General features: G+C 44.1%; 2 annotated features.

Annotated features, from left to right (window-relative positions):
* Positions 19,347-19,536: a silencer, noted in NCBI's record as "fragment chr7:32832110-32832299 (GRCh37/hg19 assembly coordinates)". NCBI's record gives its function as "represses an EF-1alpha promoter that drives an FKBP-Casp9 reporter gene in an ReSE screen in K562 erythroleukemia cells {active_cell/tissue: K562}" and the evidence as "EXISTENCE:reporter gene assay evidence [ECO:0000049][PMID:32094911]".
* Positions 23,484-23,985: an enhancer, noted in NCBI's record as "H3K4me1 hESC enhancer chr7:32827661-32828162 (GRCh37/hg19 assembly coordinates)". NCBI's record gives its function as "activates a minimal SCP1, AML or CMV promoter by ChIP-STARR-seq in primed H9 embryonic stem cells {active_cell/tissue: H9 hESC(primed)}" and the evidence as "EXISTENCE:reporter gene assay evidence [ECO:0000049][PMID:30033119]".

Genomic DNA, 27,059 nt, shown 5'->3' with positions numbered 1-27,059 from the left:
TGTATGATATCTACATGAAGCAGAAGGAACAGGGTAAGAGTAGGAACTAGATGGTGGCAGGTATGTGATGAAGCATTTCAAAATACTATGTCTTGTTGGGGGAAGAAATGTATGCTGATAAGCGTAAAAAATCAATAGGAAGAATATGCAGCACCTAAAATAGCATAAGAAAACAAATCCCAAACAAAATGAAAGAAATAAGTCCTAGTATTATGACAATTACCATATATGTAAAGAGCATAAATTCACTAATTAAGGGACAGACGCTCAAATTGGACTTAAGGGAAAAAAATCTAATATTATGTTGTCACCAAAAGAAATACTTAAAAGTATGCTGAAAGGTTGAAAATAGAAGAATGGAAAAAGATATACCAGGTAAGTTTAAAACAAAGAAATCTGTTAACAATTATAATGTCTCACAAAACTGAATTCAAGCAAAAAATACATGAAAAGAGACAATAAATATTATATGCTAGTAAAATTAACAAAGAAGCAAGATTATACATATTGCCAACATATCTGCAGTTAAAAATATGGATTCAAAGTACACAGAATAAGAACTGACAAAAACTAAAGGAAGAAATAGAAAAGTTGACAGTGTTCATTGAAAATGTTAAACACTGCCTCCTAGAATAAAAAAGTTGACAAAAGTTAACATAAAAGCTGAATACAATCAATTAGCTCACAGAGAATATAAACTTTACAAAGAGAATACACATTATCCTTGAACACAAGTGAAATATTTTTAAATATTCACATACCATGCAACAATAAATTCCAAATATATATATATATATATATATTTGATTATAAATGCAGGCTGGAGTGCAGTGGTGCTATCTCGGCTCACTGCAAGCTCCGCCTCCTGGGTTCACGCCATTCTCCTGCCTCAGCCTCCCGAGTAGCTGGGACTACAGGCACCTGCCACCACGCCCGGCTAATTTTTTTGTATTTTTAGTAGAGACGGGGTTTCACTGTGTTAGCCAGGATGGTTTCCATCTCCTGACCTCGTGATCCGTCCACCTCGGCCTCCCAAAGTGCTGGGATTACAGGCATGAGCCACCGCGCCCAGCCTAACTTCTTTTTTTTTAAGAGATAGGGTCTTGGCTGGGCGTGGTGACTCACACCTATAATCCCAGCACTTTGGGAGACTGAGGCGAGTGGATCCCTTGAGGTCAGGAGTTCCAGACCAGCCTGACCAACATGGTGAAACCCCGCCTCCACTAAAAATACAAAAATTAGCCAGTCATGGTGGCATGCACCTGTAGTCCCAGCTACTCAGGAGGCTGAGGCAGGAGAATCCCTTGAACCCGGGAGGCAGAGGTTGCAGTGAGCCGAGATCACACCACTGCCCTCCAGCCTGAGTGACAGAACAAGACTCTATCTCAAAAAAAAAAAAAAAAAAAAAAAAAAAAAGAGAGAGACAGAGTCTTGTTATGTTGCCCAAGCTCCTGGGCTCTCCTGCCTCCACCTCCTGAGTAGCTAGCTATGACTACAGGTGTGTGCCACCATGCCTGGCTTCTGTATTATTATTATTATGAGACAGGGTCTCTGTCAGTCAGTCTGGAGTGCAGTGGCATGATCATAGCTCACTGCAGCCTCCAACCCCTAGGCTCCAGAGATCCTCCTAACACAGCCTCCCGAGTAGCGAGGACTACAGGCACGCACCGCTATGCCAGGCTGATTTTTTTAAAAAGTTTTTGTAGAGATGGACAGAATGAGCCCAGAGGCAAGCCCGGAGCCAAGTGAGTGCCAGGCAGGGGCGCTGCTGGCTGCGGAGATTTCCAGATGGTGAAGCTTCACAGAAAGAATCCTGTGTCAATATTACCTTTACCAGTTTTACTATATCTTTTCTATATTTAGATACAAAAATACTTACCATTGTGTTACAGAAGTCTACAGTATTCAGTACAGTAACATACTGTACAGGTTTGTGGCCTAGGGGCAAAAGGCTCTACCATATAGCCTAGGTTCTTCCATCCATCTAAGTCTGTGTAAGTACACTGTATGATGTGGACACAATGATGAAATTGTCTAATGATGCATTTCTCAGAACATATCCCTGTTGTTAAGTGACACATGACTGTATACAATTCAGTAGTTTTTTGTTTTCATTTTTGAGACAGGGTCTCACTGTGTCACCCAGGCTGGAGTGCAATGGTGCGATCTCAGCTCACTGCAGCCTCAACCTCCCAGGCTCATGTGATCCTCCCAGCTCAGCCCTCCAGTAGCTGGGACTGCAGGTGCATGCCACCACACCTGGCTAATTTTTGTATTTTTAGTAGAGGCAGGGATTCACCATGTTACCCAGTCTGGTCTCTAACTCCTGGGCTCAAGCAATCCACGCTCCTCAGCCTCCCAAAGTGCTAGGATTACAGGCACGAACCACCACACCTGGCCCAATTCAGTAGTTTATAGTATATTCACAAAATAATACAACCATCACCAGTATTGAATTCCATCACTCCACAAAGAAACCCTGTACCCATTAGCAGTCACTTCCCCTTTCTCATCCAGCCCCTGGAACCCACTAATATACTTTCTATTTCTATAAATTTCACTATTCTAGACATTTCATATAAATGGAATCATATACTTTGTGGTGCTGTGTCTGGCTTATTTCACTTATCATAATTTTTTTTTTTATTTCTTTAAAAAAATTTTTTTAACACCTTTAAAAAAAAAACAACAGGGTCTCACTCTGTCACTCAGGCTAGTGTGCAGTGGCACGATCTAGGCTCACTGCAACCTCTGCCTCCAAAGCTCAAGCAATCTTCCCACCTCAGCCTCCCGAGTACCTGGGACTACAGGAACGCACCACCATGCCCAGCCAATTTTGTATTTTTTGTAGAGATAGGGTTTCACTTTGTTGCCCAGGTTGGTCTCAAACTCCTGAGTTCAAGCGATCCACCCACCTTGGCCTCCCAAAGTGCTGGGATTACAGGTGTGAGCCACCATGCCTGGCCACGTAATGTCTTCAAGGTTGATCCATGTTGTAGCATGAATCAGTCCTATATTCCTTTCTATGGCTGAATAATAGTTCATCATATATTTTCAGCTGTTATGAATAATGCTGCTATGGATACCTGTGTACAAGTTTTTGTTGGAGTCATATTTATTTTTAGCTGTTTGTTTGAATTAGGACCAAAATAAAGTCAACACATAATGATGCCATTGGTTGATACATCTTGTACGTCCCTGTGGGTTCCTCCTCCATTCCTTTATATTTTTTTCCAATTTGTGGAAGAAAATGAATAATTTAACCTGTACAAGTCTACAAAATGAAGATTTTTTTTTCTTTTTCTTTTCTTTCTTACTTTTTTTTTTTTTTTTTTTGAGACAGAGTCTTGCTCTGTCACCCAGGCTGGGGTGCAGTGGCCTGATCTCAGCTTACCACAGCCTTGATCTCCTGGGCTCAATGATTCTCCCACCTCAGTCTCCCAAGTGGCTGAGACTGCAGGCATGCACCACCATGACTGGCTAGTTTTGTTTCTTTTTCATAGAGACACAGTCTCACTATGTTGCCCAAACTGGTGTCACAACTCCTGGACTCAAGTGAATCCTCCTGCCTCAGCCTCCCAAAGTGCTAGGATTACAGGCATGAGCCACCATGAAGCACAAAACCTAGATTTTGCTGATTGCATCCTCTTGGTATAATTTAACACGTTCTTCTAATATCTATAGTTTTATAAATTGGTAGCTGGGTATAGAGGCTTGATTAGATTCAGACTTGATGGGGAGGTTGGAGGCAAGATTACATTATAGATAGTCTGTTAATTCTACCAACGTAATGTTTAGCAGTCTCTCTTTTAAAAAATATTAATAGCCATTGGTGATCATTGCCTAGATCCATTACGGAATGAGAAATAGTGATAGTCTAATTCTGTCATTCCTTCTTTACTAGCTGGAATATGGTATAAAGAAAAAACTGGGCTGGGCGGCTCACGCCTGTAATCCCAGCACTTTGGAAGCCAAGGCAGACTGATTGCTTGAGCTTAGGATTTCAAGACCAGCCTGAGCAACATGGCAAAACCTTGTCTCTATAAAAAATACAAAAATTAGCCGGACATGCTGGTGCATGCCTGTGGTCCCCGCTACTTAGGAGGCTGAGGTTGGAGGATGGCTTGAGCCTGGGAGGCGAAGGTTGCAGTGAGCCAAGATCGCACCAATGCACTCCAGCCTGGGCAACAGAGTGAGACCCTGTCCCCCCCGCCAAAAACAAAATGGACTCAAGGGTCAAACATATTTGGTATATTCCAAACCATTGGATTTATTATTCTTACCGTTGCTCATACTGTCTTTTCTTTGGCCAATGGCTCTTGTTGCCTAGTTGGGTTACAAGTCTTTGGACTCTAGCGGTTATTTTGTTTTGTTTTGTTTTGTTTGAGATAGAGTCTCGCTCTGTCACCCAGGCTGGAGTTCAATGGCGTGATCTTGGCCCACTGCAACCTCCGCCTCCCAGGTTCAAGTGACTCTCCTGCCTCAGCTTCCTGAGTAGCTGGGATTACAGGCGCACACCACCACACTCAGCTAATTTTTGTATTTTTAGTAGAGACAGGGTTTCACCATATTGGTCAGGCTGGTGTCGAACTCCTGACCTCAGATGATCCACGCACCTTGGCCTCCCAAAGTGCTGGGATTGCAGGCGTGAGCCTCCGTGCCTGGCCAACTCTAGTAGTCTTTGATAGCTTCCTTGATATCTGGTAGAATGAGATGTTCTAGGCTCCTTTCTATATTTCCTGACTCTCATCTGGAATCAGCCTTTTCTCCAAAAATTCTTGGCTCCTTTAGTGGGAAAGGTCAATTCAAAATTACTGTCCAAGGGCTAGGATGCTCGCTGCCATAGGATTGGTGATTATTTTTAGGCCTCTTCAGTATAAATAAAAAGGAGATATGTTTTGTTTTCTTTTACAGTAAAATACAGAGTGCATTCATACAGATAATTGCAATGCAAACTCAGGACCACAGGGTTTTACTTCTCTTCTATTTTACATCTCCTTTCTCCTATGCAGAGAATCTCAGTTCTGAACTACACTACTAATGACAGATTAGATTATTGCTCATTTGCTTTAACCCACAGTACACATGCAACGGTCTCAGAATACTAATACCAACATCACCACTAATAATATGACTGAAAATACATATTTTTACTATCTTATTTTCTTTGAGGTATATTCCACTAGTGATGCACAAATTACTGTTTTGATAAAAAGCTATTATTGGTATGGTTATGCTACCCCCTGGATACTCATTTAGATGCACCAGCTTCATCCTCAAATCTTTTACTTTGGTTTCATAATTATGTAAAATATTTACATCATTCCAAAGTCAAGTTTACAAAACAGGAGATACTGAAAGAAACATTTTTTTTTTGAGACGGAATTTTGCTTTTGTCGCTGGAATGCAATGGCATGATCTCGGCTCACTGCAACCTCCGCCCCCCAGGTTCAAGCGATTCTCCTGCCTCAGCCTCCCAAGTAGCTGGGATTACAGGCATCAGCCACCATGCCTGGCTAATTTTTGTATTTTTAGTAGAGACAGGGTTTCACCATGTTGGTCAGGCCAGTGTCAAACTCCTGACCTCCAGTGATCTGCCTGCCTCGGCCTCCCAAAGTGTTAGGATTACAGGCATGAACCACCACACCTGGCCAAAAGGGACTTTTATTATGTTGTTTTCGGAGACAGGGTCTCATTCTGTCACCCAGGCTAGAGTGCAGTGGTGGGATCATGGTTCATAGCAGCCTCCACCTTCTGGGCTCAATCAATTCTCCCAAGTCAGCCTCCCAAGTAGCAGGGACAGGTGTGCACCACCACACCCTGCTAATTTTTTGTATTTTTTGGTAGAGATCAGATTTCATCGTGTTGCTCAGGCTGGTCTCCAACTCCTAAACTAAAGCAATTCACCCACCTTAACCTCCCATAACTTTTATTTTTATCCCTCACTTTGTTACTTCCCTCTTCCTGTAATTAACCATTCTTAAATGTTTATAGTTTATCCTTCCATTTAAAAAATATAGCAAGTACTGGCCGGGCACAGTGGCTCATGCCTGTAATCCCAGCACTTTGGGAGGCCGAGGTGGGCGGATCATGAGGTCAGGAGACCGAGACCATCCTGGCTAACATGGTGAAACCCCATCTCTACTAAAAATACAAAAAATTAGCCGGACGTGGTGGCGGGTGACTGTAGTCCCAGCTACTTGGGAAGCTGAGGCAGGAGAAAGGTGTGAACCCAGAGAGCGGAGCTTGCAGTGAGCTGAGATTGTGCCACTGCACTCCAGCCTGGGCAACAGAGCGAGACTCTGTCCCCAAAAAAATATATATATATATATAGAGAGAGCAAGTATTTTATATACATAATATATTATGCATTTTGCTATACACAGACAAACTTTCCTCCACTTTGCATCTTAATAATAATATGTTTTGAAGATCTACTCTATCAATCTGACATTATTTGTATAATCAATCCTCTATTGGTGGACAATTGGGTTGTTTCTGTCCTTTTTGCTCCTACAAATATTGTTGTAAGGATGGCTGTATGTGGTGGGCCATGCCTGTAATCCCAGCACCGTAGGAGGCTGTAGTGGGAGGATTGCTTGAGCCAGGAATTTGAGACCAGCCTGGGAAACAGAAGACCTCATCTCTATAGAAAATTTTCTAAAATTAGCCAGGCTTGGTGGCATGTGCCTGTAGTCCCAAGTCCCAGCTACTCAGGAGGTTAAGGTGGGAGGATTGCTTGAGCCTGGGAGGTTGCGGCTGCAGTGAGAGGAGACTCAGCCACTGCACTCCAGCCTGAGTGACAGAGTAAAACACTGTCTCATATATATATGTGTGTGTATGTATGTATGTATGTATGTATGTATGTATGTATGTATGTATCTATCTGTTGTAAGGACTAACAGCCTTGTGTGTACATTTAAAAAGTATTTTTTGTGGCTGGGTGTGGTGGCTCACACCTGTAATCCCAGCACCCAGCACTTTGGGAGGCCGAGGCGAGCAGATCACGAGGTCAGGAGATCGAGACCATCCTGGCTAACATGGTGAAACCCTGTCTCTACTAAAAATACAAAAAGTTAGCTGGGCGTGGTGGCGGGTGCCTGTAGTCCCAGCTACTCAGGAGGCTGAGGCAGGAGAATAGCATGAACCTGGGAGGCGGAGCTTGCAGTGGGCTGAGATCGCGCCGCTTCACTCCAGCCTGGTGACAGAGTGAGACTCCGTCTCAAAAAAAAAAAAAAAAAAAAAAAAGTAGTTTTGCTCATGCCTGTAATCCCAGCACTTTGAGAGGCTGAGATGGGTGGATCACTTGAGGTCAGGAGTTCGAGACCAGCCTGGCCAACATAGTGAAACCCCGTCTGTACTAAAAAAAAAAAAAAAAAATTAGCCACGCATGGTGGCACAGGTCTGTGGTCTCAGCAACTTGGGAGGATGAGGCAGGAAAATTGCTTGAACCTCAGAGGCAGAGGTTGCAGTGAGCTGGGATCACACCACTGTATTCCAGCCTGAGTGGCAGAGCAAGACTCTGTCTCAAAAAAAAAAATTGTATTTTTGCCAGTTTGTTTTGGGGATAGATTCCTAGAAGCAGAATTGCTGGTCAAAGGGCGTATGCATTAGTAATTTTACCAAATTCTGCCCAATCCTCCACAACCACCATAGTAAGAGGGTAATTTACAGGACCATCAGCAATGTGAGCATGCCTGTTTACCCATCAGCAGTCATGTCAAACTTTCTAATTTTTGCCAATTTAATATGTGAGAAAGAGAATCTGTGATTTTATTTTTTTACATTTCTGTTAGTATGAATGAGATAAGCATATTTTCATATGATAAAGAATCATTTGAATTTCTTTTCCTGTTTATTGTTCATCCTACAAGCTCATTTTCCTAAGGTTTGGGTTCTTTTATTATTATCTGTTTATTTTACTTATTTATTTTTGAGATGGGGGTCTCGCTATGTTGCATAGGATGGTCTTAAACTCCTGGCCTCAAGTGATCCTCCCACTTCAGTCTCCTGAGTAGCTGGGATTACAGGCTTAAGCCATCATGCCCAGCTTTTTATTTGTAAAGGTTGTTTATATATTAGAGATACTAACACTAGGAGTACCTTTGCCCATTTTGTCATTTGTCTGTTTACTTTGCCTGTGATGTCTTGTTACTTGCAAATGCTTAATTTTTGGTAAGCAAAATTATACTTCTGGAATTTGAGCCACAGTTAGGAAAGTTTTCCCTACTCCCTGGTTATAGAGGAAATCACCTATGTTTCTTTGAAATGGTTTGGCTCTGTGTCCCCACCCAAATCTTATCTCAAATTGTAATCCCCATGTGTTAAGGGAGGGATCTGGTGGGAGGTGACTGGATCATGGGGCAGTTTCCCCCATGCTGTTCTCATGATAGTGAGAGAGTTCTCATGAGGTCTGATGGTTTTAAAGCATGGGACTTCCCCATTGCTCATGTTCCCTCTCTCCTGCTGCCATATAAGTTGTGCCTTGCTTCCCCTTTGCCTTCCACCATGATTGTAAGTTTCCTGAGAGAGCCTCCCAGCCATGCAGAACTTTGAGTCAATTAAACCTCTTTTGTTTATAAATTATCCAGTCTCAGGTAGTATCTTTATAGCAGTGTGAGAACTGCTGAGAATTGGTAGTGGGGCACTGCTATAAAGATAACTTGAAAATGTGGAAGTGACTTTGGAACTGGGCAATGGGCAGAGGTTGGAACAGTTTGGAGGGCTTAGAAGAAGACAGGAAGATATAGGAAAGTTTGGAACTTCCTAGAGATTTGTTGAATGTTTTTGACCAAAATGCTGACAGTGACATGGACAATGAAGTCCAAGATGAGGTGGTCTCAGATGGAGAAGAGGAACTGGAGCAAAGGTCATTCTTGTTATATTTTAGCAAAGAGACATTGACATTTTGTCCCTGCCCTAGAGATCTGCAGAATTTTGAAGTACAGAGAGATGATTTAGTGTATCTGTCTGAAGAAATTTCTAAGTAGCAAAGCATTCAAGAGGTGTCCTGGCTTATTCTGAAAGCATTCCACTATACGTTCACAAATAGATGGTTTGAAATTGAAACTTAAGTTTAAAAGGGAAGCAAAGCATAGGTTTGGAAAATTCACAGGAAGCAGAAATTTGGAAAATTTGCAGCCTGACCATATGGAAGAAAAGAAAAACCCATTTTCTGGGGAGGAACTCAAGTGAGCTGCTGAAGTTTGCACAAGTAACAAGCAGTCAACTGTTAATAGCCAAGACAATGGGGAAAATGTCTCCAGGGCATATCAAAGACCTTCATGGAAGCCGTTTTCATCACAGGCCTGGAGGCCTAGGAGGGAAAAATGGTTTCATGGGCCAGGCCCAGGGCCCCACTGCTCTGTGCAGCTTCAGGACTTGGTGCCTTGTTTCCCGCCTGCTCTAGCTTGAGCTGTGGCTAAAAGGGGCCAAGCTAAAGCTTAGATTGTTGCTTCAGAGGGTGTAAGCCCCATGATTTGGAAGCTTCTATGTGGTGTTGGGCCTGTGGGTGTGAAGACAAGAGATGAGCTTTGGGAACTTCTGCCTAGATTTCAGAGGGTGTATGGAAATACCTGGATGTCCAGGCAGAAGTCTGCTGCAGAGGCAGAGCCCTCATGGAGAACCTCTCCTAAGGCAGTGTGGAAGGCAAATGTGGGGCTGGAGCCCCCATACAGACTCCCCACTGGGGCACTGTCTAGTGGAGCTGAGAAGAGGGCCACTGTCGTTCAGACCCCAGAATGGTAGTTTGCACCATGAACCTGGAAAAGCCACTCAACATCAGCCCATGAGAACAGCTGCAGGGCTGTACTCTGCAGAGCCACAGGGGCAGGGCTGCCCAAGGCCATGGGAGCCCACCCCTTGCATCAGCATGCCCTCGATGTGAGACATGAAGTCAAAGGATATTTTGGAGCTTGAAGATTTAATGAGTGCCCTATTGGGTTTCGGATGTGCATGGGGCCTGTGGCCCCTTTGTTTTAGCCAGTTTGACCAATTTGGAATGGGAACATTTACCTAATGCCTTTACCCCCATTGAATCTTGGAAGTAACTAACTTATTGATTTTACAGGTTCATAGGTGGAAGGGACTTGCCTTGTCTAAGATGAGACTTTGAACTTGGACTTTTGAGTTAATGGTGGAATGAGTAAGACTTTGGGAGACTGTTGAGAAGGTATAATTGATTTTGAAATGTGAAAAGGTTGTCAGATTTGGGAGGGGCCAGGGCAGAATGATATGGTTTGGCTCTGTGTCCCCACCCAAATCTCATCTCAAATTGTAATCCCCATGTGTCAAGGAAGGGAACTGGGAGATGATTGGATCATGGGGGTTGTTTCTCCTATGTTGTCCTCATGATAGTGAGGGAGTTTGCCTGAGATCTAATGGTTTTAAAGTATGACAGTTCCACTTCACTCTCTCTCCCTTTCTCCTGCCACCATGTAAGATGTGCCTTGCTTCTCTTTCATCTTCTGCCATGATTGTAAGTTTCCTGAGGCCTCCCAGCCATTCAGAACTGTGAATCAAGCTTCTTTTGTTTATAAATTACCTAGTCTCTTGTAGTATCTTTATAGCAGTGTGAGAACAGACTAATACATTATTCTATGAACTTATATATCTACAATTGTTCAAGCACCATTTTTGAAAAGACTATCCTCTCCCTGTTGAATACTTTTATTAAAAATATTGACTATATGTAGGGTCCAGCCCCACGGGGTCTGTGGGTTTTTCTCCCCGTGTGCAGAGATGAGAGATTGTAGAAATAAAGACACAAAACAAAGAGATAAAAGAAAGGACAGCTGGGCCCGGGGGACCACTACCACCAAGAGGCGGAGACCAGTAGTGGCCCCAAATGCCAGGCTGCGCTGATATTTATTGGATACAAGACAAAGGGGCAGGGTAAGGAGTGTGAGCCATCTCCAATGATAGGGAAGGTCATGTGGGTCACATGTCCACTGGACAGGGGACCCTTCCCTGCCTGGCAGCCGAAGAGGCAGAGAGAGAGAGAGAGAGAGAGAGACAGCTTATGCCACTATTTCTGCATATCAGACACTTTTAGCACTTTCACTAATTTTGCTACTGTTATCTAAAAGGCAGAGCCAGGTGTACAGGATGGAACATGAAAGTGGACTAAGGAGCATGACCACTGAAGCACAGCATCACAGGGAGATGGTTAGGCCTCCAGATAACTGCTGGTGGGCCTGACATCAGTCAGGCCCTCCACAAGAGGTGGAGGATTAGAGCCTTCTCTAAACTCTCCTGGGGAAAGGGAGACTCCCTTTCCTGGTCTGCTAAGTAGCTAGTGTTTTAACTTGACACTGACGCTACTGCTAGACCACGGTCTGCTTGGCAACAGGTGTCTTCCCAGACGCTGGCGTTACTGCTAGACCAAGGAGCCCTCTGGTGGCCCTGTCCGGGCATAACAGAGGCTCGCACTCTTGTCTTCTGGTCACTTCTCACTATGTCCCCTCAGCTCCTATCTCTGTATGGCCTGGTTTTTCCTAGGTTATGATTATAAAGCGAGGATTATTATAATATTGGAATAAAGAGTAATTGCTACAAACTAATGATTAATGATATTCATATATAATCATGTCTATGATCTAGATCTAGTATAACTCTTGTTGTTTTATATATTTTATTATATTGGAGCGGCTCGTGCCCTCGGTCTCTTGCCTTGGCATCTAGGTGGCTTGACACCCACAACTATACAGGCCAGGCGCTGTGGTTCACGTCTGTAATCCCAGCACTTTGGGAGGCAGAGGCAGGCGGATCACTTGTGGTCAGGAGTTTGAGACCAGCCCAGCCAACATGGTGAAACCCTGTCTCTACTAAAAATACAAAAATTAGCTGGGTGTTCACACTTGTAATCCCAGCTACTTGGGGGACTGAGGCAGGAGAATCACTTGAACCTGGGAGGCAGAGGATTCAGTGAGCCAAGATCACACCACTGGACTCCAGCCTGTGCAGCAGAGCAAGACTCCATCTCAAAAAAAAAAAAAAAAAAAAAAAAAAAAAAAATATATATATATATATATATATATATATATATATATATATATGGACTATACATGTGTATGTGAGGATCTTTCTGGATTCAATTATATCCCATTGATCTATGTCTATCCTTATGCAGTACCATGTTATCTTTATTATAATAAAATTTTGAAATAGTTTAGAGTAAGTCTCCTTTGTTCTTTTTGTAAAAATTGTTTTGACTATTGTAGGACCTTTGCTTTTCCACATAAACGTTATAATCAGCCCATCCATTTCTGCAAAAAAAGGAAAAAAAACATAGTGGTGGTTTGATAACAATTGCATTGAATCTGCAGACCAATTTGGAGAGAATTACCAACTTACCAATATCAACTCCTCCAAACTATGAACATGGTATATTTCTCTCTTCAGATCTTTTTAAATCTCTCTCAGCAATGTTATATAGTGTACAGTTCTTATACATCTCTTGTTGAATTTATTGCTAAATGGTTTTCTTTAATGACACTGTTAATTTTTTTATGGCTGGGCACAGTAACATAATCCCAGCCCTTTGGGAGATCAAAGTGGGCAAATTGCTTGAGCCCAGGAGTTTGAGACCAGCCTGGGCAACATGACAAAACCCCATCTCTACAAAAAATATGAAAATTAGCCGGGCATGGTAGCTTGTGCCTGCAGTCTCAGGTACTCAGGAGGCTGCAGTGGGAGGACTGATTGAGACTGGGAGGTTGAGGCTGCAGTTAACCATGATGGCACCACTGCACTCCAGCTTGGGTGACAGAGTGAGACCTTACCTCAAAAAAAAAATGTTTTTTAATAGTTGATAGTACATACAATGCAGTTGTTTATTGACTTTTTTTTTTTTTTTCAGAGATGAGGTCTTGCTCTGTTGCCCAGGCTAGCCTTGAACTACAGGGCTTAAGTGACCCTCCCACGTCAGCCACCTCAGTAGCTGGGACTGCAGGCATGAGCCACCAAGCTTGGCTTATATTGGTCTTTATCTTGTAATCCGGCTACGTTATTATTTCTAGAGTTTTTGTTTTGTTTTTTGAGACTCCTTCAAAGCCATATGCCTTTTCATTTTTCCTTAAACTATTGAGGGTTAAATTTTTTCTTTTCCTTGTCTTATTGCCTCAGTTAGGACTTCCAGTACAATTGTGAATAGAGGTGGTGAAAGCTGACATCTTTGTTTAGCTCCTGATGGTAGGGGGAAAGTTTTCCATCTTTCACTATTATACATATTAGCTGTAGATTTTTCATAGATGTTCCTCATCAGGTTGAGGAAGTTTCTTTCTCTTCCTAATTTGGTGAGTTTTAATCATAAATGGGTCCTCTAATTTGTCAAATAATTTTTCTATGTATTAGTCCATTTTCACACTGCTATTAAGAGCTACCTGAGAGTGGGCAGTTTATAAAGAAAAGATGTTTAATTGACTCACAGTTCCACATGGCTGGAGAGGCCTCAGGAAACTTACAATTATGGCAGAAGGCAAAGGAGAAACAAGCCATATCTTACATGGCGACGAGAGAGAGAGAAGAGAGAGAGGAGAGAGACAAAGGAGAGAAGGAGAGAGAGAGAGAGCAAGTGCAAAGGGGGATGTGCCACACTTTTAAACCATCATATCTAGTGAGAACTCACTATCACAAGAACAGCATGGAGAACTGCCCCCATGATCCAGTCACCTCCCACCAGTTCCCTACCCTAACATGTGCGGACTAAAAATTCCACATGAGGCCGGGCGCAGTGGCTCATGCCGGTAATCCCAGCACTTTGGGAGGCCGAGGCGAGCGAATCACCTGAGATCGGGAGTTGGAGACCAGCCTGACCAACATGGTGAAACCCTGTTTCTACTAAAATACAAAAAATTATCCAGGTGCACAGGCGTGGTGGCGCACGCCTGTAGTCCCAGCTACTAGGGAGGCTGAGGCAGGACAATAGCTTGAACCCGGGAGGCGGAGGGTGCAGTGAGCCGACATCACCCCACTGCACTCCAGCCTGGTGACAGAGCAAGACTCTGTATATATATATAAAAAAAAATTCCACATGCGATTTTGGTGGGGACACAGAGCCAAACCATATCAGTATCTATTGGCACAGTCCTATGGTTTTTGTCCTTTATTCTGTTAGTATGGTATGTGATTTTCTGATATTAAAGCAATCTTTTATTTATGAGATAAACTCTACTTGTTTATATCATTTTTATATGTTGGGAAGTTTTTTTTTTTTTTTAATTCCAACTCATTTGATGGTTATTTGACAAATCCTTTCTCCATGGTGTCAGAGACATTTCAGTACTAATTAGAATTCCAAAATAGTTGCCTGAATGACTTTACTGAAATTAAATTTTTCTTCATGACCTATACACTCCTTTACATAGGTTTTGTTCAGTTCTGTGCTTGTTATGTGCCACACACTTTTAGGTGTTGAAGATAAAGAGATAAATAGGGTAGACACAAGCCCTTGCCCTCACAGCAGTGAAGACAATCAAAATGACTAATACAGTTGGGTGTTAAGTAATATGAGGTGCATTTGAAATTTAAACAAAAGGAACCAAGATAGAATTTTTGTTAAAGCCTCCTGGAGGAAGTTACATGAGGTGTAAATTGAACTTAACCAGGGTTACCATATCATTTACCATCCAAACAGGCACACTTTTGAGAGTGATAGTGAAAACAAGCATAAACTAGGATGTATGGTTACCTAAGATTTAACCAGTCCATGGGGAATGGTGCTTAAGGCAGAAAAAACTGTATGAAAAGAAGGCCCATTAAAGTAACTAAAACATTCAATTTGGTCAGTTTGTAAATTGTGAAGAAGGAAATTAGTCCAGAAAAGCAAGCAAAGACCAGATTCAAAAGGCCTTATAAATCAGAAAATAACCTGGATTTTATTTCAAGGGTAATAAATGTTCTAAACAAAAGCATGACATTAAAATTGTATTGAAAAATATCTGATTGCAGTGTGGAGAAAATGTGAGCAAAGAACTGCACCAAAGAGATCATCTGGGGAGGGAACGGAGAGTGGTATGGGGTTTTGGGGGTCATGAAAATGTTACACAATGGATTGATAGGTGCACAACTCTGTGAATACTCTAAAGATCAATGGATTGTACATGTTAAATGGGTGAAATGTATGGAATGTGAATTATAGCTCGATAATGCAGTTAATTTTGAAAAACGGATCACTTAGAAATTTATTAAATTCTCCAGGTGACAGATGATAGGGGCTCGATTCATGTGTTAGAAGTGAGGATGAATTCAAGAGATTTGAGAACCTACCAGGCCTTGTGACGGACAGAATTCATGGAGGTGAGGAAGAGGGAAGAGTCGAAGTTGACTTTCAAGTTTCTACCTTAGAAAGCCAGTGGGGGATGGTGCCACTTACTGAACCTGAACCACAGGCAGGTGTGGGGTAGATAAGAGCCAGAGGTTCTTCAGACATGTTAAATTTGAGACCTTTGAGATATCCAAGGTGGATATCCAAGGCAGACTCTCAGGTAATGGTCTGGGCGGTGATTCACTGTAATGAACAAGACTGCCTACGGCATGTATGAATAGAGGAAGGCCAAGATCTGAGATGGTTAGAGGTGAGATCAGCAAGAGGCTGAGAAAATCCCAAGATAGGAAGAAAACCAGGGAAGCATAACATCAGAAGTCCAGTTCAGAGTGTTTCACACAAAGTGTTCAGTGTGGATTACTATCATGTGTCAATGAGACAAGTAGCCTCTGAACTTTAAAAAGATTGAAGTTTCAACTTCAGTGGAGTGATAGTTGCACAAATCACTCTCACCTCGGTTCAGTGGAGAATTGTGGTTCATCGGAAGACAAGGCATGGAACAAGGTTTGTGAAGGGGAGAAGAGGGAAAGAGTTGAGGCGAGAAAGATCTTTGTTTTTAAAATGGTTTGGCTGTTTTTCCTTTAGAGAGGTTAAAGATATTGAAGAAATGAGCAGGCTGCATAAAAATCAGCTAGGAATGATCGTTTAAAAGTTAAGGTTTGGTGGCTGGGCGCGGTGGCTCACACCTGTAATCCCAGCACTTTGGGAGGCCAAGGCGAGTGGATCACCTGAGGTTGGGAGTTCAAGACCAGCCTGACCAACATGGAGAAACCTTATCTCTACTAAAAATACAAAATTAGCCGGGCATGGTGGTGCATGCCTGTAATCCCAGCGACTCGAGAGGCTAAGGCAGAAGAATCGCTTGGACCCGGGAGGCGGAGGTTGCAGTGAGCCGAGATTGCGCCATTGCACTCCAGCCTGGGCAACAAGAGTGAAACTCAGTCTCAAAAAAAAAAAAAAAAAAGTTAAGGTTTGGCAGGCCGGACACGGTGGCTCATGCCTGTAATCCCAGCACTTTGGGAGGCTGAGGCGGGTGGATCACAAGGTCAGGAGTTCAAGACCAGCCTGGCCAAGATAGTGAAGCCCTGTCTCTACTAAAAATACAAAAAATTAGCTGGGCATGGTGGCAGGCACCTGTAATCCCAGCTAATGGGGAGGCTGAGGCAGAGAACTGTTTGAACCCAAGAGGCGGAGGTTGTAGTGAGCCGAGATCACACCGCTGCATTCCAGCCTGGGCGACAGAGACTCCATCTCAAAAAAAAAAAAAAAGTTAAAGTTTGGCGCCAGGTGCAGAGGCTCACGCCTGTAATCCCAGCACTTTGGGAGGCTGAGGCAGGCAGATCACTTGAAGTCAGGAGTTTGAGACCAGCCTGGCCAACATGGTGAGACCTGTCTCTACTAAAAATAGGAAAATTAGCTGGGCACGGTGGCGGGCACCTGTAACCCCAGCTAATGGGGAGGCTGGAACAGGAGAATCGCTTGATCAGGGAGGTGAAGGCTGCAGTGAGCTGAGATCATGCCACTGCACTCCAGCCTGGGTGACAGAATGAGACTCCCTGTATGTCTGTGTCTACACATGGCATTCTCCTCTCTGTGTGAGTCTCTGTGACTCTTTCCCTCTTATAAGGACACCAGTCATATTGGATTAAGGTGCACCCTAATGACTTTATCATAACTTGATTACATCTGCAAAGACCCTATTTCCAAATAAGGTCACATTCTCAGGTACCGGGGTTAGGATTTTGGCATATCTTTTTGGAGACGCAATTCAACCCGTAACAGTTGGGAATATCTTTCTTACATTTATTTGCATGCCAAGTTCTTTGTTAAGATTCAAATCTCCTCTCAGGTTTTCTTTCCTGCAGGAAGAATTCCAAGATGCCTTGCTCCCATTTCCATCTTGGTGGCACCACCATATCATATTGAAGTTATATTTTTATATGCCTTCTCCCTTATTGGACTACTAGCCCCTCAAGGCCCAGGATATTCATATATGCCTAGGGCAAAGGCTGGTGTCTAATAGAAGATATTCAAAGCAGAATTTAGATTTTGTGTGTGTGTAGTTTAAATCTATTTTTTCTTTGTTGCGAGTTCTTATTGTGAAAAGAAAAAGTATGTTTTCCAAATCATATACCCTGGAGGCACCCAAAAAAGATCCATTGGCATGTAGAAATAATACATTAGAATATCTATTTACATATTTTATCTCTTCCTTTAAAAGCTTTTTGTCAAATGTGCATTATTATATTTATACTATATTTGTACATAGTACAGATATGAAGTCTAGAAATATTAATAAGTAATCAATAAAATTAGTAAATAAATACAAATATTGGCAAATGCTAACATATATCTCTCTGTTTCCCTTTTAAATGACAATTACTAATTTAAGGTGGCTTCACCAGGGTAGGCAAAAAAAAATCACATTTGCACAAACACTCAGCACTCTGGCTCATATTCAAATGACCCATCCTCTTCTCTGACCGATCAGAGCTTCAACTCCTGTCGTACTGAGCCTTTGGTTTTAAAAAATTAACATTTTTGGTCGGGCACGGTGGCTCACGCCTGTAATCCCAGCACTTTGGGAGGCCGAGGTGGGCAGATCACAAGGTCAGGAGATGGAGACCATCCTGGCTAACACGGTGAAACCCCGTCTCTACTAAAAAAAACAAAAAACAAAAAACAAAAAAACCCCAAAAAATTAGCCAGGCATGGTGGTGGGTGCCTGTAGCCCCAGCTACTCGGGAGGCTGAGGCAGGAGAATGGTGTGAACCCGGGAGGCGGAACTTGCAGTGAGCCGAGATTGCGCCACTGCACTCCAGCTTGGGTGACAGAGCGAGACTCTGTCTCAAAAAAAAAAAAAAAAAAAAAAATTAACATTTTCCACTCCAGCGTGGGCTATAGAGAGAGACCTCGGCTCAAAAAACTAATAATATTTAAGAATACATGAGACTTCAGAATCTATAGTGAACTCAAACAAATTTACAAGAAAAAAACAAACAATCCCATCAAAAAGTGGGCGAAGGATATGAATAGAGACTTCTCAAAAGAAGACATTTATGCAGCCAAAAGACACATGAAAAAATGCTCATCATCACTGGCCATCAGACAAATGCAAATCAAAACCACAATGAGATACCATCTCACACCAGTTAGAATGGCAATCATTAAAAAGTCAGGAAACAACAGGTGCTGGAGAGGATGTGGAGAAATAGGAACACTTTTACACTGTTGGTGGGACTGTCAACTAGTTCAACCATTGTGGAAGTCAGTGTGGCGATTCCTCAGGGATCTAGAACTAGAAATACCATTTGACCCAGCCATCCCATTACTGGGTATATACCCAAAGGACTATAAATCATGCTGCTCTAAAGACCCATGCACACGTATGTTTATTGTGGCACTATTCACAATAGCAAAGACTTGGAACCAAGCCAAATGTCCAACAATGATAGACTGGATTAAGAAAATGTGGCACATATACACCATGGAATACTATGCAGCCATAAAAAAGGATGAGTTCGTGTCCTTTGTAGGGACATGGATGAAGCTGGAAACCATCATTCTCAGCAAACTATCGCAAGGACAAAAAACCAAACACCGCATGTTCTCACTCATAGGTGGGAATTGAACAATGAGAACACATGGACACAGGAAGGGGAACATCACACTCTGGGAACTGTTGTGGGGTGGGGGGAGGGGGGAGGGAGATATACCTAATGTTAAATGATGAGTTACTGGGTGCAGCACACCAACATGGCACATGTATACATATGTAACTACCCTGCACGTTGTGCGCATGTACCCTACAACTTAAAGTATAATTAAAAAAAAATTAAGAATACATGAGACGTAACACCTCCAGGGATACTTTTTTTTTGTTTTTTTGGTTTTTTTTTTTTTTGAGATGGAGTCTTGCTCTTGTTTCCCAGTCTGGAGTGCAGTGGCACGATCTCAGCTCACTGCAAGCTCCGCCTCCCGGGTTCACGCCATTCTCCTGCCTCAGCCTCCTGAGTAGCTGGGACTACAGGCACCCGCTACCACGCCCGGCTAATTTTTTGTATTTTTAGTGGAGGCGGGGTTTCACCACGTTAGCCAGGATGGTCTGGATCTCCTGACCTCGTGATCCTCCCACCTTGGCCTCCCAAAGTGCTGGGATTATAGGCGTGAGCCACCGCGCCCGGCCACCTCCAGGGATACTTTCATAAAATTTTTCTTGTGGAAAATGTCAAGCATTGACACAAATAGGAGATTAGTAAAATAAACCGCTGCGTGCCCACCACCCAGCTTCAGCAGTGAACACCCAGACAATCCTGTTTTGGTCACTCCCCACTCCCACCCCCACGTCAGTTACCCCTCCTCCCACATTATGATTTTTCAAAAAGGTTTGTTGAAGTATGATGTTCATACACATGTATACATATACACAGGCACAGAAAAGCATATGCTATAAAATTAAAGCACAGTGAATTTTCATAACCCAAAGCCATTTGTGTAAATGCAAATCCCAGATACCCACCTCGTCCTATCTACTGGTCACTATCTCCACCCTCCGCCCCACTCTCCTCACCTCAACAGCATGGGTTTGTGATTTTCTTTTTGCTTTTGTACTTCATGTAAATGAAATCATACTCATCCTGTATTATTTGAAGCTAATCCCACAATCATATCATTGTATTCATAAATATTTCAATATGTGTCTCCAAAAGATAAGAACTTTAAAAAAATGACCACAATACTGTTATATAATTAGATTTCTACCCTCTGTATTTCCCTATTCAATCTTGGCTGCCACAATCAGACAGACAGAAAATGTAAGGTCACTTTTTTCTTGCATCTGCAGGGGAAACCTTAGCAGCAGATAGTAATTATTCTAGTCTGTCAAATAGACGCAAATATAATTGAATTTTTAAAGAGATGTGTTGTTAATGCCAACATATCACTATCTGTGGGAATGAGTGGAGGAGATAGTTGTGAGGGTCATTTACTGCCAGCAGTGTAAGTTGGGGCATGGGGCAGGTTGTTTACTGCACCATGTTCTCCTCTGCCCCTTCGTGAGGTTTTAGACACACCAGATTCAACAATGACAGGGCTGGGGATCAAATGTCTCCACTCACACCTGTGCTGGTTGCTGATGTTTATTCTGTAGTGTGTTTCTCCTAAGGTAGTTACAGAAAGTCCTCTTTGGAGAATTGAAGAGCTGGAATTGGGGAAAACTGATCCTGGTTATGACTTCAGGTGAGGATATATCTGCTTGTCCTGCTGTCCTTGATGACTGCACCGTAGAGGAAGAATGTATCTTTTGAGCATTCATGTCAAGGATCCTTGACTGGAGAAATCCCTCTACAGCTGCACTCAGGGCATCTTGTAAAATGTATGGGTAAAGCAGAGATCTGCTGAGGTTCTTCACTTGTCAGAGACGTAAGTGCCCTTGACTCAAACGCTCCAGCACCCCACCCCTGGAAGCTTCTAGAGCCCTTGCCCTAATGTTGGTTCTATTCTAAGTCCATGAATGGAGCCTCTTGTTCCAGTCATGTCAGCTGTGGAACTCAGTTCTGCCAGATTTTCACAGAAAATGCAATCACACTAGCATTGTGTGAGCCATTGGCTTAAGGCTGAGAGTGCAAGTCAGAGGCCACACCACCTCCCAGACAGCCTCCTCCAGCTCCAGACTTCTTCCCCCACCAGAAAGAACCTAGGGGCTCATTCCCTCAGGAGCAAACACATTCCTCTCTTCCCCAGGGTGAGTCGTCCCACTGCCTTTCTTTCCAAATCCCCTGCCCGCAGACTCTCAGCCAGTTTTCAGACTGACTTGTCAATGATTCACGTTCAAATATTACAGAAGTCATAATAAGTGGTCAACAAATATTTCCAGAATTAAACTCTCCCTGCACGTTGGCTATTAAAAGAGGAAAGAAACTAACATTTGCTGGGTGCTGTTATATGCCAATCATGATGCTACAGTCTCTCACAAATAATATCTTATGTAATTCTCACAACAGCCTTGTGAAGAAGGCACTATTATCCCTAGTTGGAAAGAAAAGGAAACTGGATGGATGCAGTGGCTCATGCCTGTAATCCCAGCATGCTGGGAGGCCGAGGTTGGTGGATCACTTGAGGTCGGGAGTTTGAGACCAGCCTGGCCAACATGGTGAAATCCCATCTCTACTAAAAATACAAAAAATTAGCCAGATGTGGTGGTGCACACCTGTAATTCCAGCTACTCAGGAGGCTGAGGCATGAGAATCACTTGAGCCCAGGCGGTGGAGGTTGCAGTGAGCTGAGATTCTGCCATTGCACTCCAGCCTGGGAGGCAGAGCACGACCATCTCAAAATAAATAAATAAAAGGAAATTGATGCTCAGAGGGATGAAGTGATTTGCTGCAGCCGTTCCAGACATCACTCCAGACCCTTAATATTCAGTGTCACTCCCTCAAGAGCCAGGGACCTTCCCAGCAGTTTCTCCCTCTCAAAAAAGTCTTCCCCTCAGGCTGCCTCCAGTCAGAAGTGAAGCAGAGAATGAAGAATCTCAGTATTCATAACAAATATTTGTCTCAATGGCTGAAGGGGAGAAAAAAGCAGACATCTTCTCTAACCATCTGGCCCCAACCCTGAGTCTTCAGAGCAGGCCCACATTGTCACTGCATCCTGAGGAGGGTGGGTGGCGATGGGGTCTGTGGGAGCTGGACGATGGTCGTGATCAAGAAATCCATTGAGTAGATACTGTTATCATCCCTACTAGATGAGAGGAAACTGGGCTTAGTGAAGGACAGTAACATGCCTGAGTGTTCAGTGCCAGACTCAGATTTTGAATCCAGTTCTTTCTCACTCCAGAAACTTGTTCTTCACCAGTGTGAAGCACTCACGCTGGACTCATACCAGATCTTCTCCCCTCCTGCCCCAGGGAGAGCAACAGCAGACTCAGCCCTGGCATGATGGGGCTCTGGCTTGAGAGGGGTCTAGGGTCCCCAGTGAGAGCCCTGGCACCAGGCACAGGGCGACCTGCAGCACAGGGGAGCCTCCGCACAGCAGCCTCTCCTCCCCACCATGTTGATATCAACCTCAGTTTCCTTGCTCAGCTCTTTCATTTCCTGCTGACTAGAGCCCTATCCTGAATGCATGCCCAGCCCCCCAGCCCCGATCTCCTCCTTAACTCCTGTGGAAAAAAAAAGTCAATATATTAATTTAATAGAGCGAAATGAGTGTTCATTTACAAAAGCCAGCCGTGCAGTCTGCTAGTCAGAATGAAGAGTGTATTGAAACAAACACATACGAAGACTCTCCAGAAGAAAGGAAGGGGACAGCACGCCTCGCTGGGAGGCATTGCGTTTTTAGGAAACCCACACACGGAATCTGAGCTAAGCCTCTCTGGGAGTCCAAATATGTCATAATCTGCTCCCCAGCACTCACAAAATCATATTTTCTTTATGAACAGAATAAGTGTTTATTATAGAAAGTCAACTGAGAAAGGAATAAAGAAGAAAAACCTCTATCATCCTACAACTCAGATATATGCGCATGTGTGTGTGTGTTTATAGAATCGGAGTTATACATTTATTATATACCACAATGTATATTGCTTATATATTTACAAAATTGGACACAAACTCTTAGCTATCTTTTGTGAAGTCATTTTTAATATTTGGATAGTTGCATTGTTTTGTGTAGATCAATATTTTCCAAATTTGGCCGTGCTTCACAATTGTCTGGGGGTTGAAACATTTTTGCAAATTCCTAGGCTCTTTCCTACATGTTATTGCATCAGAATTTCTAGGTTTAGAAGTCTGCCTTCTTTGCCGGGTGCGGTGGCTCACACTTGAAATCCCAGCACTTTGGGAGGCTGAGGCAGGTGGATCATTTGAGGTCAGGAGTTTGGGACCAGCCTGGCCAACATGGTGAAACCCCGTCTCTACTAAAAATACAAAAAATTAGCCAGGCATGGTGGTGGGCAACTGTAATCCCAGCTACTGGGGAGGCTGAGGCAGAAGAATTGCTTGAACCTGGGAGGTGGAGGCTGCAGTGAGCCAAGGTCGCACCATCGCCCTCCAGCCTGGGCAACAAGAGTAAACTCTGTCTCAAAAAAAAAAAAAAAAAAAGAAAAGAAAAGAAAAAGAAGAAGTCTGCCTTCTTATAGCCCTCCCTGGTGATTCTGATGCAGGCCATCCTGCTGTGACCCATTTTGGGAACCACCGGTGTCCATGTGCCCTGGTAAGCAGTGAGAAGTGGCACCAGGCACAGGGCCACCTGCAGCACAGGGTGAGAGCTGTCACCTTGGAAGAGCCCAGGAAGGTACACCTGGCCAAATACCCTTCCAGTTCTCTCTTTGAGGGCAGAGCATTAGCGCAGCCTCCTGGAGCTTACAGGGAGGGATGACCCTGGGAAAGAAGAAAGGCTTATTGAAATGTATAGGGACCTGGGTCTTCCTATTTGCATAAAAGGAAGGAATGTGTGACCTCACTGTGGTCATTTCTCATAAGATATAGTCTACCTCCCACCTTGGTTCTTCACTTTGTACTTAATACCACCACAAATAGCCTTTTATTTTGGGTGACAGCTCTGCTTCATTCATCTTCTCCAACTCTTTCCTAAGGGCTGGGCCCTGCTGCCTCTTCTGGGTGTCTGTTTTGAAGTGACGACTGGCATTGTGGCCACTCCAGCTGAATGTGGACAGGATCTTTGAGCACCTGACTCAAAGCCTCCCTGGAGGCTTTAGAATTACTCTAGTGATTCTGCAGCCATTTCAGTTTTATGATTCTAATGGGCACCAACATGTTCTCCCATATCTGTCACCAATTCTACCCTGACGGCCGCCTCTCAGCCAACTGACCCCTCTGCCTCTGGTCTCCCTGGACTCCTTGAGTGGGTGGACCAGTCCTCATCAGGCATGTGCAGTCTGCTACCTGGGCACTCACTATTGCTCCGTCCAGCTTTTCTGAGGCTGTGCCTCTGACCCTGACCTCCATCCCCTTCCCAGACCCCCAAATAGTGCAGTGACACTTGTCCCAACATCCGCGGCCTGGCTGCCACACTCTCTCTAGAAGCCCTTGTCTTGTCTTCCACTGCCCTCTCCTCAAGACTGTCTGCAAGGAGGCAGGAGTGGGCCACCCTCTTTGTGTCAGGTTTTGGATAAGGGGCCCTAAGGGCCACCATTTTGATCTCAGCTTGGCTCTGTGCTCTTGCCACCCCCACACCCCCATGCATCCAAGTCCCACCACCTGTCAGAACATTACCTTCCTGGCCCCACCCCATGAGAATTGTGGCTCATCAGTGCTCAGTGGCTACACTCTCCATGCTGAGATCCAGATCCTTTTGGCTATCAGAATGATTGTCATCTTGGTGGCCCCATCTTGTGGTTCATGAACCAAATGTAGACCTTCTAACTTCCCAACTCCTATGGAGCAGTGGTTACGGGTCTCTACTGTCCAGGAGTGGGGGGCAGGCCCAGGTTGTATGTCTGTATGGGGGACTCAGGCTCTGCCATGTGACCTGCAGCCCTGACTCTCCCAGGCCTGATTCCCCAGTGACTCCTGCCACCCACTGACCCCCACTGCTGGAGTCATGCTGCAGAGCTCCTGGCATTCCAAGTCTTTTTCTGCTGTCAGAGCATTTCTCTCTAACCTTGCTCAAAGAAAGCTGGATTCAGATCATATTCAATGGTCTCAGACAGAGGCTGAGTAGGAAAGTGGTCCCATTGCGGTCATGACTCAAGAGATATCAGCCTAGGTCCTTCTCGGACCTCCTGATACCATTTCCATGATTAGAGAGTCTTTCTTTCTCTTTCTTTCTTTCTTTCTTTCTTTCTTTCTTTCTTTCTTTCTTTCTTTCTTTCTTTCTTTCTTTCTTTTCTTTTCTTTTCTTTTCTTTCTTTTTTTTTTTTGAGACAGAGTCTAGCTCTGTCTCCCGGGCTGGAGTGCAGTGGTGCCATCTTGGCTCACTGCAAGCTCCGCCTCCGGGGTTCACCCCATTCTCCTGCCTCAGTCTCCCAAGTAGCTGGGACTATAGGCGCCCGCCACCGCGCCCAGCTAATTTTTTTGTATTTTAGTAGAGATGGGGTTTCACCATGGTCTCGATCTCCTGACCTCGTGATCCACCCGCCTCGGCCTCCCAAAGTGCTGGGATTACAGGTGTGAGCCACCGCGCCCCGCCGAGTGTTTCTTTTGAAACAGAAGCCATTGACTCTTTTGAAGTCCCCACTTAAATACAAATATTAGGTTGTATTAAAAGTAATGGCAAAAAGTGCAATAGCTTTTGCACCAACCTCTAATATGTTGAGATGAATCATGCCTTAAGCCTTTCTCAGGGGGTGACATGGGCAGGACTGGGGTGGTGCGGTATGTACTAGTTGACAGGCAAAGGAAGCAATTTCTTGTTCTTTCTGATCTAGAATTGACAGTTTATGTGTCAAGAACTGTGCTAAGCACTTTCCTATGCTTCATTTCAGTTAATTTCATTGGCATATCACCACATACGGCTAATATCAGCATCTGCATGTTGCAGACCAGGAAAAGGAGATCCAGAAAGCACAAGCAAAATGCCTTAGTCACATAGCCAGTATGTGGGGCAAGGGTTTTGAACTTGGGCTTCCTGACATCCTGCCCCATGATGTGGGACAGCAGTGGATATTTCCCTGCCCCCTTCTTTCTCTCCTCTCTTCCAAGCTGCAGTACAACATTTGCAAATTCTGCCGTCTGCATCCTTCCCTGATCCGCTTGTGGTCTATGGCTGTCACCTCCTGTCCCACCTGTCTTTTGCCCCTTCATCTCTCCCTGCCTCACCATCCCTCCCAGTCCCTGGCAAAGTTTGCTGTAGCTTTCCACCCTTTTCCTTGAGGAGAGACAAATAGGCCTTGCAGTGTGTCCAAGGAGCCACAGTGTTTCTGAGGAGGGTGGTGGGGCTCAGGAGGGGCTACAGGAACAGTGGCCATTATAATAGGGCTTTCAGGACTGGGCTAAGCATGGTGCACACACAATGCCTTGACTTTTGTCTCTTAATCATTTCCTAGTCCATTTAGCTGGTTCCTGCCATTCAAATCCTGTAGTAAAGGGCCATTGTGTTTCCTTCCCAAATAGAATCGGGTATGTCATTCCAAATGCAGATAGGAGCCCCGCCTTTTAGTCAGCATGTACAGTGCCACTGTCCTCGCAGCTCCTCATTCTCTCCTAACAATAGCAGCCAGGTGCTGCCAAGAGCATGATTCTGCACAGCTGGAGGCCTCCAGGAGGCGCTGGGGCTTGACACCCTCTCAGGGAGCGCTTGATTCCTTGCCTCACACTTGGGGATCTCTAGGCCAATCTGGAGTGGAGGGTAGACTGATGATGGAGCCCCAGGGCCAGAAACCTTAGTGATCTGCCTGCATTTGCAGACTTCCATCTCATTCCTTGAATCAGACCCTTGAGGTAGGGCACTGGAAGCAGCTAAGCTCTCTGGAAGACGTTACCCCTTAGAACAGGGCTTCTTAACCTTCAATGTGTGGGAATCATCTGGGGATCTTGTTAAAATGCAAGTTTAGATTCAGCCTGAGAGTCTGTATTTTTAATAAGCTTCTGAGAAAAACCAATGTTGCTCCAAGGGCCCTGTTTTTACTAGCAAGAGCTCAGGAACTTGCTCAGTATGGTCACTTCGACTTTTAATTACTTATGTGTGGGACTAGGGCCTGAATTTGATTGTCAGGAAGAGTTCCAAGCATTCGTTCATTAACTCATTCATCCAATAAATATGCAGTGTCTACTATTGT

Source organism: Homo sapiens, chromosome 7 (genome assembly GCF_000001405.40).
Source record: "Homo sapiens chromosome 7, GRCh38.p14 Primary Assembly".
In the NCBI taxonomy this organism is placed as follows: domain Eukaryota; kingdom Metazoa; phylum Chordata; class Mammalia; order Primates; family Hominidae; genus Homo; species Homo sapiens.
The sequence above is the reverse complement of the archived record's forward strand: the minus strand, read 5'-3'. Positions and strand labels throughout refer to the sequence as shown.